At 42.1% G+C, this 17,458-nt stretch overlaps 1 protein-coding gene and 1 pseudogene across 4 annotated transcripts in view; one reads left to right on the forward strand and one right to left on the reverse strand.

Moving 5' to 3' along the window:
• Window positions 1–17,458, reverse strand: part of LNX1 (ligand of numb-protein X 1) — a 193,177-nt gene that overhangs the window by 112,489 nt on the left and 63,230 nt on the right. For 3 of the 4 annotated variants that reach the window (XM_005265785.6, NM_001126328.3, XM_047416328.1), the window contains exon 2: window positions 1,834–2,299. In XM_005265785.6, coding sequence (XP_005265842.1) covers window positions 1,834–2,213 — 380 coding nt within the window. In that variant the 5' untranslated portion in view covers window positions 2,214–2,299. Of the gene's footprint in view, window positions 1–1,833; window positions 2,300–7,465; window positions 7,551–17,458 lie in introns of all 4 variants that reach the window. The other variant, XM_024454262.2, reaches the window with a different exon arrangement.
• COMMD5P1 (COMMD5 pseudogene 1) lies at window positions 3,925–4,598 on the forward strand (annotated as a pseudogene).

Below are 17,458 nucleotides of genomic sequence, written 5' to 3' on the forward strand. Positions count from 1 at the left end.
CACTAAGACTGCAGGCAGACATCACCAGGTCTGGCTAATTTTTAAATTTTTTATAGAGATGGGGTCTTGCTATGTTGTCCAGGCTGGTCTCAAGCTCCTGGGCTCAAGTGATCCTCCTGCCTCAGCCTCCCAAAATGCTGGGATTACAGGTGTGAGCCACTGCGCCCAGCAATTTGGGTTGTTTTAAGTCACTAAGTTTGTGATTTGTTACAGCAGCAACAAGAAATGAACACAGCTCCCCAGCACAAATGTATAATTGCAACACGGGACTGTGGTGAGGGTAGAGGAGCTCTTTCTCCTCCTCATGCCCCTCATCCCCTTGCCCAGTGTGGCTCCCACTCTCAAACCTGGCTCTGTGCCAACTCCTGTTGGCATCTACCTCACCTTTGACTCCAGACCTACTTCTTTCCCACCAACGTCTCCCATACCTGGGCAAAACTTTCAGCAAAAGTCACAAATAGACTACCCTACCCACTCCTCCTTTAACCACATCTATTTCTGGGGAATGAGGGAGGTAGGGCATCCTAGTTTAAACACCAGCAATAACAGCTGCAACCCAAAAACCTGAGGTGGAAGCATCTGGCTGAACGTCTTGGGGAGAAAAATGAATTCACTGACATAATGAGCGTGGAAAACATGTGCTAAGCATTACACCCAGGCCATTGCTTTTGATGCAAACTTCCATGTTAGAGAATCCATGCATGTCCCAAAAGACAAAGGCTCAGATTCATGACCTAAGGTATGTGACCTTTAAAAAAAATACCTGCACCTGCCTCTTGCCCTTGTCATGACAGGAACCAGGATAAACAACATCTTCCAAATTTCCTCTTACAAAATAATTGTGGTATGATTGTTCACCCTTTATTAAGCACCTTAAATGTTCTCAATGTCCAAGAACATGACAATGTAAGTGGACAAAATGAGAGGCAGCCAGATGGAACAGGTGATGTCAGCCATCAGCAGCGGCAATCACACCAGAATTCTGCCACCAGTGTGGGTGTGTGTGTGTGTGGGTGTGTGTGTGCACGTGCAACTTAGTAACTTGGCCACAAAGTTAGCAGAACAAATTGCTTGGAAGACAAAAGTTTCCTAAATTTCTCCTTTTAAAACTTAATTGAGAACACCTCACACCTTCTTGAAGGACAGTTGTGCCTTGTCAATTCCAATACAGAGGAAATTCTAATAATCAAGGGTCAAACTGGGGCACCTTTTTTTCCTTAAGTGAAAAAGCAAGCAGTGCCCAACAGGAAATCCTTTTGAGGCCCATAAGCCTCAGAGAAATCTGCTCATACACCCTCTCTGGTATATTTCACATTTCAAAACATACACACATGAGATGAGCTGGTCGCAAAAGGACAAATACTGTATGATGTCGTTGATATGAAGCACTTAGAGCAGTCATATCCATGGAGACAAAAAGTGGAATGGTGGCTGCCAGGGGCTGGGGGAAGGTGGAATGGGGAATTCGTGTTTAATGGATATAGAGTTTCCATTATGGAAGATGAAAAATTTCTAGAGATGGATGGTGGTGATAGTTGCACAATACATGAAAGTACTTAATACCACTGAACTGTATACTCATAGTGGTTAAAAATGGTAAACTTTATGTTACATTTTATTAGAATTTTAAAAAATCCCATAAACACATACATACAACACAACTCCACCAAATGCTATTTCCTCACACTGAATCATGACCATAAACACCTAGCTGTTTTTTTATTTTGAATGGATCATTTCATTGGTTGGAAGCCCTCAGGAGACTGGGGGGTGGAGGGGTCCAGCTGTCCCGCTTGGGGGTGGGACTTACCGGCTCGCTGATGGGGGACCTACCTGGTTTGAAAGTGATGCTCGAGGTCACAGCGCTGCAACACCTGGGTGCAGTGCTCCCTGAATGGGCAGGTCACCAGTAGCTTGTTGAGGAGTTTGTTGACCAGGATGCTGGACTTCTTGCAGTGCTGCAGAACCAGAGGCTTGCGGTCCATGGGACAGAAGTCCTTCTCCACCAGGAAGTTGGTGAGGCAGAGGGTGCAGTAGGTGTGTCCACACGGAGTGTCCAGGGGGTCCAGCAAAGCCTGCAGGCAGATGTGGCAGATGAGGTCATCATCCACTTCCTCTGGATAGCTGTAGAAGTGGTTTTCCTCCAAGGAGTGGGCTTGGCCACACACTGCACACAGGGGTTCAGGATCGTTGGCAGACTCTGGCTGGTTCATGATGGATTGGAGAGCAGTATAACAGGAAACTCAGTCACACAATATTTCCTCAGGAGCAAGTCAAGATCTAGGAGACATCCACACACCTAAAAAAGAACAAGAAGGCTCACCTTTGCTTCCCAGCACATGAAAGGCTTATGCTTATGGTAGACATGAGACAGGGCTGCCAATGCATGGGGAATTGAGCTACGATTCAGAAAGCCAGGGTTGAGGGTCCACTCTGGAGTGACTGACAGGACCTTGGGCAAGCCCCATGGCCTCCTCGTGCCTCTGTTTTTCCACGCATGCCAGTGGGAATAATGTTCACCTTTCACATCCTCACATTGGTGTGGTAAGAATCATTTGGGTAATATCTGGGAAATGCCTAAAGTAACTCTAAAAAATGTAATTTGTTAAGAAAATTAAATAGACCAGTGATTTGTAAAATTCTTGTCAGATCAGGACAAGAAAAAAAAAACAAAAAACAGTTAACACTGTGATGGCTTTCTCTTATCTTTCTTCCCCATCTTTCTCCCAAACTCAGAAAAAGTAGGAGATCAGAGCTTTCAACTAAGTCATCTGAGAGAAAATAGTGCTGTTGAGCCTTTCATATTTTCACTATGATAAATGCACTGTTGTCTCCTGTATGCATTTCACTCAGTTGGTCGTTAGTGGCTAAGTGGGCTCTGGACACTTTGCCTGGGTTCAAATCCCACCACTATGGGCCAATGATTTCAGACTCTGTTTTCACATCTGTAAAATGGGGATAATCACAGGCTACTTCATAGAACTCTTGTGAGGATGAAATGAGATATGATATATAAAGCTCTTAGATTTGCATCTACCACATACTAAGTGCTCAATAATTCTTACATGTATTTGTTACTGAATTCATTGTCTCTAGTCTAGCTCTGTTGGCCCAGAAACTGAAAGCTAGAGCTCCTATAAGGGGCCTTTAAGCTTTGTTCTAATAGGACTCTTTTATTCCATTAGATATTTCGTTTTTTTTTTTTCTTTTTAGACGGAGTCTTGCTCTGTTGCCCAGGCTGGAGTGCAGTGGCATGATCTCTGCTCACTACAACTGCCACCTCCCAGATGCAAGTGATTCTCCTGCCTCAGCTTCCTGAGTAGCTGGGATTACAGGCGCGCGCCACCATGCCTGGCTAATTTTTGTATTTTTAGTAGAGACAGGGTTTCGCCATGTTGGCCAGGCTGGTCTTGAACTCCTGGCCTCAAGAGATCCACCTGCTTTGGCCTCCCAAAGTGCTGGGATTACAGGTGTGAGCCCCCATGCCCAGCCTAGATATTTCTTTTAAACAGTAGAATACTACCACAATACATATTTTCCTTTAACATAGATAGGAGTCAACAATAATCAAGTTTTTCAACATGCTTGCTTTGCATCTAGGAAGTCTCTTGCGTAGAAAGTCAATAAATAGTTTTCAAGCGCCAACTCTGAGCTAGGTCATGAGTTTGATATGCAGACCTTTGAGAGAGACTTAAAGGATATGCTTCTGCCCTCAGGGAGTCCCCATTCCAGAGGTGACATGGACACACACACAAGTAGGAGCCCAGTGCAAACTAGGGCTCTGGGTCAACTTTCATGGTGATTAAGAATCCCACCTTGGGACCAGGCCCGCTTTTGGCTGCATTGGCTGGGGATCACTGGCACCAGGTATCTGCATCTGGGACCCACCCCCTGGGCTGGCTAATCAAGGAGGAAGCAGCAGCAGTGTCTGCTGTGGGGGCCACAGCTCTGTATTGCATCATCCTGGTGGTAGTCACAGTGGCCGAGTGAGTTTCTTGGGGGCCCAGCTTCCTCCAGAGGTGGCAGCAATGGACCAGCTACTAGGGGACCTAAACAGGAGCATGTTTAGAAAGTTGCTGAAGTTTGTGGTCAGCAGCCTGCAAGGGGAGGACTGCCGAGAGGCTGTGCAGTGTCTTGGGGTCAGCACCAACCTGCCGCAGGAGTGGCTGGGTGCCCTACTGGCAGGCATGCACACGCTGCTCCAGCAGGCCCTCCATCTTCCCCCCACCAGCCTGAAGCCCAACACCTTCAGGGACCAGCTCCAGGAACTCTGCATCCCCCAAGACCTGGTCGGGGACTTGGCCAGCGTGGTATTTGGGAGCCAGCGGCCCCTCCTTGATTCTGTGGCCCAGCAGCAGGGGGCCTGGCTGCCCCATGTTGCTGACTTTCAGTGGTGGGTGGATGTGACAATCTCCACCAGTGCCCTGGCTCGCTTCCTGCAGCCGAGGGTCCTGATGCAGCTGAAGCTTTCAGATGGGTTAGCATACCGCTTCGAGGTCCCCATAGCCAAGTTCCAGGAGCTGCGGTACAGCGTGGCCCTGGTCCTAAAGGAGATGGCAGATCTGGAGAAGAGGTGTGAGGGCAGCCTGCAGGACTGACCCCTCACATGACCAGTCCTATTCAGGTCAGGCTTGGACAGGCACCTCAGATGGTGCCAAAGTGCAGCTGACTCTTCCCAGGACAGCCCTGCCCTTCCCATGAGGCAGGCTCTTCATCCAGGTGCTTTTGTAGATCTTGTATTTTAGGTTGGGCATTTTCATTCTTCTGCCTTAAATCCCTGACTTCACAGAGCTGACATTCTAGTGGGGCTAAGGGGAGGGGAAACATTATAAAATAAATAATAAAAATAAATTAAAAAAAAAAGAATCCTGCCTCTTCCCTCAGCCCCAACTCAACTTTCCTCTTTTCCAAAAGTAAATTAAAAGACCTTATGCTTTCCACAAGAACATAAAGACACACGAATAACCTAACAGGAAATTAGCCACATTTGGAAACAGCCCAGCAGTCATAAACTGTATTATATCTCTTTTCTTTTCCAAATAAAGTCGGAGGTTGTTTGTGCAAACATAGCCTTATCTCAAAAAGAAAATACATTGACTTCAGGCTTTCATTGAGTCAGCTTTGTTGTTTACATTTCTGTACTGCAGTAATATGCCTGAGAGGACACTCTAGTGAAGAGGTTGCTGGCAAATGCCCTTAATATAAAAACATTTAGAAATTGTAGCATTTTATTTAGCATCAGATAGGACCACAGAAGGCAAAGATAGAGGGTGCAGGAGGGGGTAAAGTTGTTTCAAGGAAATCTGTATCTATGCAGCTGCTGATTGTCCTCAAGGCTGTTAGAAAGTACTGGAATCTCACAGGAAATACTTTAAGTGACATCAGAAACAGTTGAAAAACAAACATGAAAATGGAAATGGGCCATGCAAAAGATTATCATCTACAATCTATAGGGGAAAAATGGTTCACACAGGATGAACTAAAGCTCTAGGTCTTTTAAAGCTTCTCTGTAGTGTTCTGCCATATAGTCCCACATGCTACAGTCTTGGTTATTCTTTCTCATGATGCTGTAGGGGAATATAAATTCAGGCTGCAGTGCGGCCATACCACTGAAAATACAACTGCATGTTTCTGGGCCATTCCCTTGTTGGTGAAATGGTGGCATTGGACCAGATTTTCGTTTTTCAAACTGTGCTGTGGAAGGCATCAGATACTTCCAGATCTTCCAAGGGAGTGGAGATAGGAGGAAACCAAGGGGGAGCTTTGCCCACTCCTCCAGCTCTGCCATTACTATTATTATTATTTTTTAAAGATGGGGTCATGCTATGTTGACCAGGCTGGTCTTGAACTCCTGGCCTCAAGCAATCCTCCCATCTTAGCCTCCCAAAGTTCTAGGGTTACAGATGTGAGCCACCACACCCCGCCTGCCATTATTTCCTTAATGCATCATGTTCCTCTTAATATTCTGGTCAAAGAATCCTAGCTTTTAAAAAAAACTTGCAAACCACCAGACTAGATCGTGTACAACAGTCCCTTCCAGAAATAGAGTTCTATGATTCTGTGCTAATCAAGTGAGGTTTTTATGTTTTGTTTTGTTTTTGATGATTTGATGTTTGGGAAAAATCCTTTTTTCATCTAACAGTTCTTTGAATATTTACCATGCGCCAGGCACTGTGCTAGGGGCCTTATATTATAGTATATTATGTTATTCAATCCTCACAAATGGCATAGGAAACTGAAATGCAGAGGGTAAATAACTTGTCAATCACACCAAAAAAAGAAACAAAACAGGCAGGGGCTGTCTGACTCCAAGTTTCTGCTCCTACTTCCCTACTTTGTCTCCCAGAATCTTTCTTGATTATGGCTAGTCAGAATCCCAATAATGTAACTCATTAAATACAAGAGACCCAGGAAATTAGAAAGCTTTAAATCTCTTCAGGCTCTATTGCAAGTAGAATCATGTGTTGCTTAATGATGGGGATATGTTCTGAGAGGTGCATTGTTAGGCGATTTGGTCCTTGGGTGAACATCATAGAGTGCACTTACACACACCTTCACGGTATAGCTGACTATACACCATATAGATGTGTAGTCTATGGCTCTTACGCTGCAAACCTGTACAGCATGTAACTGTACCAAATACTGTAGGCAACTGTAACACAATGGTAAGTATTTATATATCTAAACATAGAAAAGGTACAGTAAAAACAGTATTTTAATCTTATGGGATCACCATCATATGTGGAGTCTGTCATTGACCAACATGTCGTTATGGGGTCCATGACTGTAGATATGTCAAAGATCTCTGAAGAAAAAGATTCCTTGATTTCACTGAGTGCTGAGGCAGAATGAATGGAATGGAGTAAGCAAAAATGGCAGATTTAGCTCCACCTCCAATTTTCTTTTATCTTTTCCCTTCCTTTCTTTTTCTTTCTGAGAGCAATTTGAATTCCCTGGCACTTACCCATGTGGATAAACCAAATTCTTAATATTATGTTAATGTAAACACTGCTGTATATATTTTCTGACTTTATTTTAGACTAAATAAAGCCTACATGAATAGAAACAGATTATGAGATAATTGACTGAACAAGCAGTTTTGGCTCTAAGGGAAAGAACCAGGTAGACTTAAAAAATATGATTAATATCTCCCTGGTGGTTCTTATTTGCAGTGTATAGCTTATAAACATGTATGATGTATCACGTTTTCAGACATATCAGAGCCTTGCTGCTGAATGGAGAAGAAATTATCAAAAATCATTAAGCCTGAAAAGGTAAGCTAGTTTCTCCCACCAAAAGTAAGAGAGAGGGCCTGTCAGCTTTGTGTCCATATAAATTTACTGAATGTATCAGCCATCAGCATCTCTGGCCCTAACTGAAGTAAGTAGACAGAGCTGTGATACAGTGTTTTGGCAGTTTAGAGTAAGAAAGAGTAGTGGAGTGGATTGATTCCCTCCTTACGTACGTGTATGATGGGTACGGTGGAAATCTTACACTTTTTCAGTATAACCCTGTGGTGCCTTAGGAATCACCCTTTCCTTCTTTCTGATCTGGAATAGGACAGAAACCAGAGGTGATTTTTAGAGATATATGGAGCCAAAACCCCCAATCTAGTGCTGAAAAGCACCCAGAAAAATAAAAACCCCCATCTCTTTTTGGTCCTAATCCCTGCTTCCTTTCCTATGATTTTATTGTCTAGCCTAAAACCTGTATAGAAGCTTCTCTGCCTAATTCTCAAATTTTGAACTTCCTGGATGACAATAAAGACACATACCAGAGCAAAAGCCAGTTGGTGCCGCCTGCAACCAAGAGGGTCATTCGAGATCGTGTGTCTACTGTCAACGCACTAGACAGATTTAAGAACAGCCTTTGGAATACAGCCTGTTTGGAAGTGGAAACATTTCTGCATCAGGTAACTCATCAGAACAATGGGATCCTTGGTGTGCTGTTGTCCTGCTAATTCTCCTTTCAATGCACCCTGGCTTTATAGAAAATGGTTATCAGATGTAGTTGCCAGAATAAACCACATACTCCACTAGAAGGACAATTGGATAAATATAACATTTGGCATGTGGCAACGATAATTTTACGTGTTCTTCCCATTGAAAGGACAAGATTTGACCCTAAAGCATCTCTGAAATTGTTGCCTGAGTCACAGTTTTCTAGTAATAGGAGGAGGATTCCATATTATGAAAAAGAATCCTTCTTTATAGTCACATGGCGGTGTGTCCTGCATTGGCACTTTAACCTTGTCAAAGATGAAACACTATAGCCACAGACTCTGAGTCAAAAGGAAGCCTGACAGATGAGAAAGGCCTTTATTACTTTATAAAATAGATGATTCTACCTTTGGATAGCTTTGATTAATAGAGGAAAAAGTCCACATAATGAGCAAAATTTTCCTTTCCTATACCTCACCTGCCCTTTCCACAAGTGCCACCGTTACCCTAGGAGCTCTTTAGAATATGCCTAACTTTTTAAGTCCTTTAATTATTTGAAGACAGATCCCATGTTCTCCCCCAGGGCGAGTAGCCTCGGGTTCAGTCAGTATTTCTTTCACATCCAAATCTCTTCTGCAAGCTCCCCAATTTATCAGTGTCTCTCCTATAATGTATGGGTAGAATGAACTCCAAAACTCCATGCCAGAGTGAAGTGAGGGAATCTGTTCCCTTGATGTGACTGCCAGACAGCCTGAAACTGCATCCACTTTCTTGCAGCAATAGCACACACTACTGCTGTTACTGGAGTGGGTAGAGGAGGAGACACTGCCCTGAGGCCTGGAGAAAACAATTCCTGGAGGTGGTGGAGGAGGTATATATCTTACGAGTAAAAAGGTAGAAATGAAGAAGTTTTTAAAAACAAAAGCAATGGCTATGAATGAAGCTTAGAAAATGCAAAAATATGTAGTGGCATTAGGTGGATTTATATAAACAGAAGATAGTCTTCAGTGGCTAAATAGTTCAGTACTGGAACTCATAATGTATATCCAATCCTTAGAACCATTGCTATCTGAGGAATGTGGGGCTCTCTTATTTGTTTGTAAACGTTCCTTTACTTTGATAAATCTCATTCCAAAATGTACCAACATAGTAAATAACACAAGAAAAGGGAAATGAAAACCATTTAAACAAATGATAAATCAGACATAATTTTTCCAACCCAGAAGTACAAAAATACTGAAGAACTTCCACTGACATTCACTATAAATGAAAAAGTTTAAACAGTGACAGGCCACAAGCAACTGATGGAGAGGCAATGGGAGGAAATGAAGCCTGCAGCTCCAGGTGCTCCGTGTCCCCACCCCACCCCCAAAAGATGCACAAATACTTGAAAAAGGAAAGTATCCAAGGAGGTATACTGGTCACCCGGGACCATGACAGTTGTACCCTTATCAGTTGCAGCCTGAGGTCAAAGGAAAAATGTATGTCCTGATATGTACATTTTTATTTTTTAATGGCTAATTTTTTTCAGATCATTAAGGAAGTTGAAAAATGTGGAAAACATGAAGAGTAGGTATATCAAAACTTAAAACATCAATTTAAGTTTAAATATTTTATTTATTCTCCAAACAATTTTAGAAATAGTTTTGTTTTCCTGGCTTTAAAGGAAACACACTCATCATTTTTTCCAAAAACCTTCCTCTTTGCTCACTGTATTAGTCCATTTTCATACTGCTATGAAGAAATTACCCAAGACTGGGTGATTTATAAAGAAAAAGAGGTTTAATGGACTCACAGTTCCATATGACTGAGGAAGCCTCACAATCATGGCGGAAGGTGAAGGAGGAGCAAAAACATGTCTAACATGGTGGCAGGCGAGAGAACATGTGCAGGGGAACCGCCCTTTATAAAACCAACATATCTCATGAGACTTACTCACTATCGCAAGAATAGCATGGGAAAAACCCGCCCCCATGATTCAATTACCTCCCCTTGCGTCCCTCCCACAACATGTGGGGATTATGGAAGCTACAATACAAGATGAGATTTGGGTGGGGACGCAGCCAAACCATATCACGCATCTTGTTTTTGATTGAGGAAATTGCCATGTTTGATCATTTCTCTTAACTAAGTGATGATCTTAAACAATTTCTAAATAACTTTAGCTTACTGATCTTGTCTTTATTTGAATACATTTTGATCTTTTGTTCATCATGGATTGTTTGCATTCATTTTGCATTTTTTTAAATATTGCATTCACATTAGGATTACTGAATTTTTCTGCACCTTAAATTTTGCACCTGAAGGTGAGTGTCTCACTTGCCTCACCTTAATTATGACCTTGTCACTGTTAATTTTAGAAACCTAAGAATATCAAAACTGTGGTTTGGATGCAGCTCTGCTACCAACTACTTTTTTGGATCTTGATATTTTCCTTTTACCTGACCTGGTGGCCAGCCAGCTACAATGACAAAACAGTAGAATTACAAACTCTTCCCAGGTGTGCCACTAAACTTCACCCAAGGTCAGAATTGATTGTTGCTTCAGCTGATTGTTACACTTGACAGAGACACACAGGTGAACAGTTTGCTGAAGGGTTCACAAGGCAAGAGGAATGACTCGCTTCAAAGAAGCAAAGAATGTAACCTAGGGCCAGGTCTCACAAAAGATCACAAAACGACCGGATCCTGTAAGAGCTTTGTTTCATGAGTACATAAGCGAGCCCAGTCAAGTAATAAAGAGTTCTCTCCAGCAAGGACACCACATGGAATGTGACATTTTACAAACAGTGTGAGGCTCTGCCCTACTGTATTCATGTTTGCTTTGAATTTTTGCACATTTAAAAGTTATTCAAAATATTTTACTCCCTTCAGCCAACCTCTTGTTTTACAGCATGTTTCAAACACACAAGGGCTAACTCTATATCAGATTATTTCTGAGGTTACTTTTAGCTTCAAGAAAATGAGCTTAAGATTTTTTGTTTTTTTGTTTTTTTTTTAATTGTTGATGATGCTTTAAAATTTGGATTAAGCTCCATGTGGCAGAATGGTTGCTTAGTTTCAAACTGGTCACTGGGGTGACAGCTCAGTGCAAAAATCACCATCACAGTCAGAAACACCATCCTGGACCACGAACAGCAGAAATATACCCACAGAGGAACCAAACAGACCAGCGCCTGCCACTTCTTCAAATGGTGGCCTCATCTCTCTTTCTAAAATAATTCACCCAGCAGGCATGTCTGCCTAACTACTGCCCTGGCCCTAGCTGTAACTCCTAAATCAGGTTACTGGGGGGAAAATAATTGCCAAAGTTAGGGCAAAGTCTATCTTTCTGTATTAAACAAAGTAAATGTACAATTACATTTTAAATTTTAGATAAATTTAGTAAGACTTGACAGGATCGATAATGTGCCATCAAACTCTTATGGCAATTTTATAAAGGCCAATTGTAAATGAACATACACAGAGGATGGGCAGTGTTCTGTGGGCTATTCCTTAGCTTACAGACTCTCATGTAATAGGGAAGAATTAGGAGCATTAATGACCTGGATAAAAATAGTCACACATGGAATAAAATTATCTTCAAACTAAGAACCTGGGTTGGAAGTTTGGGGTGATGTGTCTGTGTGTGCATGATGGGGGGCAAATACACTGCAGAGGAAAGAGTGGGGAGGCAGGTGCTTACAGGCTGCCGCCAAGGTCGTGGTTAGCTCTGCTTCTGCTTAATTTCTAAATCAATGATCTCGAAGAGGGACTAAGCCACTCATTAATGAATCTGTGAATGACATTAGCCTGTATAGTATTGCAAACACCCAAAAATACAGAAAAAAAAAACCCTTTTAAATGGTCTTTAAAGAGGTCAGAAACATGTCAAGAAATTACAGGAGAATTGAACTAAAGGGAGACCATGTAATACATCTGGAGTCAATAAAGGAGGACATAGATGTTCAGAATGTGGGAAAAACAAGGGAAGTGGTTAAGCGAAAAGAGTCCCAAGTGGCTAGACAATTAGACGCAAGTTTTAGAAGTCAGGGAATGCCTTTCATAAGCAGGTTAGAGAAGAGTGTTCCTTCTCTTGACGAGATTTTACCACCTTTCCCCTGGGGTGCCATACTTGGGTTTGTTTGTAAAAACTCTGTAACAGAAAAGATGTCCTTCCATTTCCTAGTCCATAAACATGATGAAATAGAACTGACCCCCTGCAAACAACAACAACAACAACAACAACAACAACAACAACAACAACGACAAATGAAGGCAGAGTATTTTTGCATTGATTCGGAGCTCTGTTCATGCTAGGAGTCACCAAGGATCCCGGGAAGAGCTGATATCAGAGGGGTATGGAAAAGAAGCAAACTGACATTCTTTCATCCAAAGCTGAAAAACAATTTCAAAAAGTGTTTATGTGTGTATGGTTTTTTTTCTGTTGTTGTTGTTTTTTTTAAAACAGATAACCAAGTTTTACAGAGGGAAGGACAAGATGAGGAAAGATATTTGAATTCTCAACATTTTCCGGCTGTGTTTCAATTCTACAGGGGTCATGGCTTTGCCTAATCCATGCCTGGGATTGGCCTTAAACTCTGTGGGAGTTCCTGTAGGGAATTCCATTTCATCTCCAATACATTTAAGTCTAATTATGAAAACAGAGTTTATCCACAGGAAAAAAAATGTAAAAACACTGCAAGAGAATACATAATACATGGCAATGTGTATAATGCCCCAAGACAGGAGCCATGGACAAGCTTTGGAGGAGAGACAATAGAGAGTGCATGTGGCCCAGAACAATCAAGGAAAGTTAATGGGATAGACGGTCCTTGGGAAGGATCACGAATGATAAATGCGATCTGGACAAGTGGGAAGTAATCCAGGTGAGAAGAACCTGAGCAAATGTGTCAATCAAGGAAGAGTAGTGATCTCTTGATGTGACCCATATGACGACCTCTATGTGAGGTTTTAAAATGATTTATTTAGAAGTCATAGGATTTTGATCGGTTAAGGAACTTAGATTTTCACCAAGTAGAAAAATCCTCTTTTCAAGATCCCTACAGCACCTACCAGCTTCTATCTGAAACACTTCCACTGATGGAGAACTGGTCAGTTTTTCAAATAGCTAGTGCTTCCCACGTTACTTTGACCTTTGGCCTTGTTCTGCCTTTCAGTGTAACGTATATCACATTTGCTTACTCAAAACATGACACACACATCCCCAAATTAAAGACAGCATTGGGTGGTTCCTCCCTTGTTTTTATCTTTGTCTTTGGTTCTTCCAATTGTCTTCCTGGGTAGTCCAGATGGTGGTAAAAGATCTACCCAGGATGCCTTCTAGTTTGTTAAGGTCCCTTTGAAAACCCGTACCTGGAAGTGAAGTTATCCTGTTTTGGTTTGGAGGACTCAGGATTCAGTGGAGTGATCACTTCCTTAACCAGGATACTATGTGTTTACTAATGCAATCTATGATGGTTTTTACTGTTTTGTCTTATTAGATATCTCACACTGTTGACTGGAAGAACTCAGTAGGCCTTTAGAGTACAAAACACTTACTACTGTGGCATGAACATAGAAATAAATGAAGGTAGTGATGATGGCTGCCAATTCTGACTCTCCTTGCCTGTACTTTGCTCAGTATTTCAGCCTCCAAGTGGACAAGAAATCTCTCCATAAGTAGTTGGAAGAGCTTGTGTATATGGTTGTCAGCTGGGGATACAGTGGGTAGAATGAGGGTCCCTGCAAAAGATATATCCATGTCTTAACCCCAGAACCTGTGACTATGACCTTACAGGAAAACGATCTAAGAAGGTGTCATGAGGTTTAGGATCTTGAGATGAGATCATTCTGGATTATCTGAGTGGGTCCTAAATTCAATGACAGATGTCCTTAGACACTTATAAGACAGGAGGAGAAGACACAAACGCAGAGGAGAAGGTGATGTGAGGAGAGAGGCAGAGATTGGAATTATGCACCCACAAGCTAAGGAATGTCTAGAGCTACTAGAAACTGAAAGAGACCAGAGAAGACCCTCTCCTGGAGCCTTCAGAGGAGTGTGGCCCTGCTGTTACCTTTATTTCAAACTTCCAGCCTCCAGAACTGTGAGACAATAAATGGGAGTTGTTTTAAGCCACCAAGTTTATGGGTATTTGTTATGGCAGCCCTAGAAATACAGGGGTTACATATTTCCAGGGGTATTCCTGCAGGAATGGGGTGAATGCTCCCAACGATCCTTTCCAACACTTCTCTATAGGGCTTAGAAATAGGGAAAAATATTTGGAGACAGCAGCCACATAGATTGCTACATATTTAGCAACTCTACCCTATTAGAAAATGTATTAATTTCCCTTTAATTCATTAATAAGTTAGAATACAGATGCTTTCAGAGATGACTGTTAGACTAAATTTGCAAAGGGCCTCAAGGGAAAAAAAAAAGGCCACAGATAGAATGGCTGAGTGTGTGTATGTTGTGGAAGATGTAATATAAGTCAGACAATCATATTTAATGAGGAGTCTGAAAACACATGGTGACTCATGTATTCATGCGAGTATGCAGGAGCCTAAACATGCTGCGCTCTATTCAGAAAAGGCCACGTGACTGTCAAAAGCAGTCATAAGCAAGTTATGCAAATCATCTCAGCAGATAGCAATGACATATTTAGACCTCCCCATCATGCATGTGCTATTGTGCCAAGAAGCTATTAAAGAAAATTCTTGGAGAGTTTCGACTCTGCTGCTGGTGAAGTCTTTTGTGTGCCTGTGACAAATGCGTCAAACACAAGAAGCAAATAAGAGTCACTTGAAAAAAATCATGGAGTCTAAGTCCACATATTCTAAGTCACAAATTAGTGATGTTACCAAAAATGTCCCCGGTTAATTGGGATAGAACTTGCTCCCACTGTTAGAAGTGTACTAGTCAGCCTACCATGCCAAGGAACTTGGCTTTCTAGAGCAGAGAGAAGTTCTTTCAGATGGATAGGTGAAGAAGGGCAAAGGCAAAGAGAACAAGAGTAAACAGATGATTGTAAAAACTGCAAATCTCAAATTGGTGGATCATCTTGTCTACCTTCTACCTGAGGCAGAAATTCTTTTTAGAATATAAAATAAAAAATAATGATTATTACTATTTAATGAGCAGTTTGCAATATGCAAGATACTGTGCTGGGTATTCAACATGTTTTTTCATTTAATCTAAAATAATCCTATGAGATCATTAAGGTAATCTTCACTTTACAGATGAGTGTATGTGCAGCTGAAAAACACAAATCCTCTTTGTCATTCATTTATTAATTCATTCACTCATCCAGCAAACATACACCATGCACTAAATATGCCAAAAAAAATGATCACCTTCAGTGACAAGAAACTCAGTATCCCAAAAGGCAACCTACTACATTTTCGGACAACTCTAATTCATAGAAAGTTCTTCCTCTTACTGATCTGAAGTGTGTATCTGTGTAACTAACCAAATAGGTCACTGTGGTGTCCTCATGTCACACAGAACAAAATGGAGGAAAGGGTAAACACAGAAAGTTTACGGGAGACAACAAACGTTTTCTGTTCCTGATTTCAGCTCAGTGTAGTTTTCCACATTTTATGGTTTTTTTATGGTTTTCATGTCAACCCTATTCTTTGGGGATAGTTAATGATTAAATCATATTAACCCAGGAACAGTGACACAGTCTTCCTTCCAAACAGTTTTGAAAAGCCTTTGATACTTTGGAGGCATTGTCAGAGGACAATAAATTTGCCAACCACATAAAAGAGAGTCTATGTAATGTCAGTACATAAATATTAGGAATAGTTGTATGCTACTGGGAAGTCCATGAATACTGAGGCAATGAGGAGGACACACTTTAGAGCATCTCTTATGTGTCCTCGCCTTGCCAGCATCTTACAGACGGCATTTCGAGTAGTCAAGATCGTATCCTGGTCAAGAGAGTGAAAGGAAAAAAAAAGTAGTCAAGATCCCACCAGACCCTATTTTCTCCACTTTAAGTGAGGAATTCAAATATAGAAAGGAAGTCTTAGCCAAGGTCTTGGAGACAAGGAGACAGTGACAGGTGAAGCCAGGAAATCACCGCTCCAGGAAGACCCGCTGTTTACTCACATCACAGAAGCCCACTCCCCACAGGTTTATGAAAGACCAGGCATTTCCACTGGCAGCCACTCTACCCTGGAACTCCAAGAGAAACAACACAATCTTTGTTAACAGGTTTTCCTCCTCTGCCTTTGGGAGCCTTTTGGGAAATCTTTTTTTGCTCAGTCTTTGGCCCTCAACGTACTACCGTTTCCATCATTATTACATCCAGATAGTAGCATGACCTAAGATGTCTAACTGTAAGCAATATAAAAATGTTTAAAATAATATAACAATAGTTAACACTCACTGAACATTTAAAATATGCCAGGCACTTTCCATGTAATTATTTCAATTATTCCTCCCAACAGCTCTGAGTCTGGGAAGTATTTCATTTCCCAGCTGATGAAACCAAAGCAAAGAAATATTAAGGAACTTATTTAGGCTAGCAACTACATGGTAGAACTGGGTCTGATACACAGACCTGTCTGATACTATCAACTATGCCTTCCTTTCAATATTTACAAGTAACACTGTGGCAGGTACCATTCCAAGCACTTTACACATTTCAACCCATTTCATCTTCATGATAACCCTATTACACAGCTGATGAGAGCAGCTTAAAGAATCTGTCCCAGGTCACACAGGTAGCACATGGTAGATCTGGGTTTCAAAAACCCAGGTAGGCAGCCTGATGCCAGAGACCAGACCACTATTCTAAAGCAGTAGCATTGCCCCACCTAGAATGGAATGAATAAGATTGATATTTTCTAGTGAGGCACTACCCAGTCCCCCCAGTCAGTCTGACCTACCCACCTGGACATGCAGCCCACCTTGCTTCAGTTGTAAGGATGGAGGGGGCCTGTGAAGTACACCATTTTAGCGTCCTTTGGGGAAAAATGTAGCTAAGGAAACTGACATGCAGGGGGGTTGAGGTTCTCCCTTAGGGCTCCGTAGGCAAGCTAGTAGAACAGTAGAACCCACTGACCTCAATCCACTAATCCCTTACTCTTGAATGATGAAAATTTGTGGTATCCCTGAAGGGCGAGACCCAGAGAAGTGACCAGGGCCCTGGGCACACAACTGCTCATATGCAATGACTCAAGGTCACCCAAGGGCACAGGGTATTGCATGACAAGGCCAATCACATCCAATGGGTCATGAACCTCCTTCTATGGTACAATGAGGCTCCAAACCAGGGGCTTCCTCCTGCCAGAGGCTCGGCATGAACCCTCACTCTGGTTAGGGAGAAGGGTGTTTATCTGTGAGACTGGAGGAGACCAAACACCCAGTCTGCCCTGGAGATAGCACGACTGACAGCAAAAAGAACTCTCTGCCAAGTCAGATTACAGCAATGACAACTGGACATTTCCCCCGAAAGGCCCATGGAGAATCACATTTTGTGGGTCTGTTGCAGGATGAGAGCCTTAGAGTGGGAAAAGGAAGAAATCACA

Source organism: Homo sapiens, chromosome 4 (genome assembly GCF_000001405.40).
Source record: "Homo sapiens chromosome 4, GRCh38.p14 Primary Assembly".
NCBI lineage: Eukaryota > Metazoa > Chordata > Mammalia > Primates > Hominidae > Homo > Homo sapiens.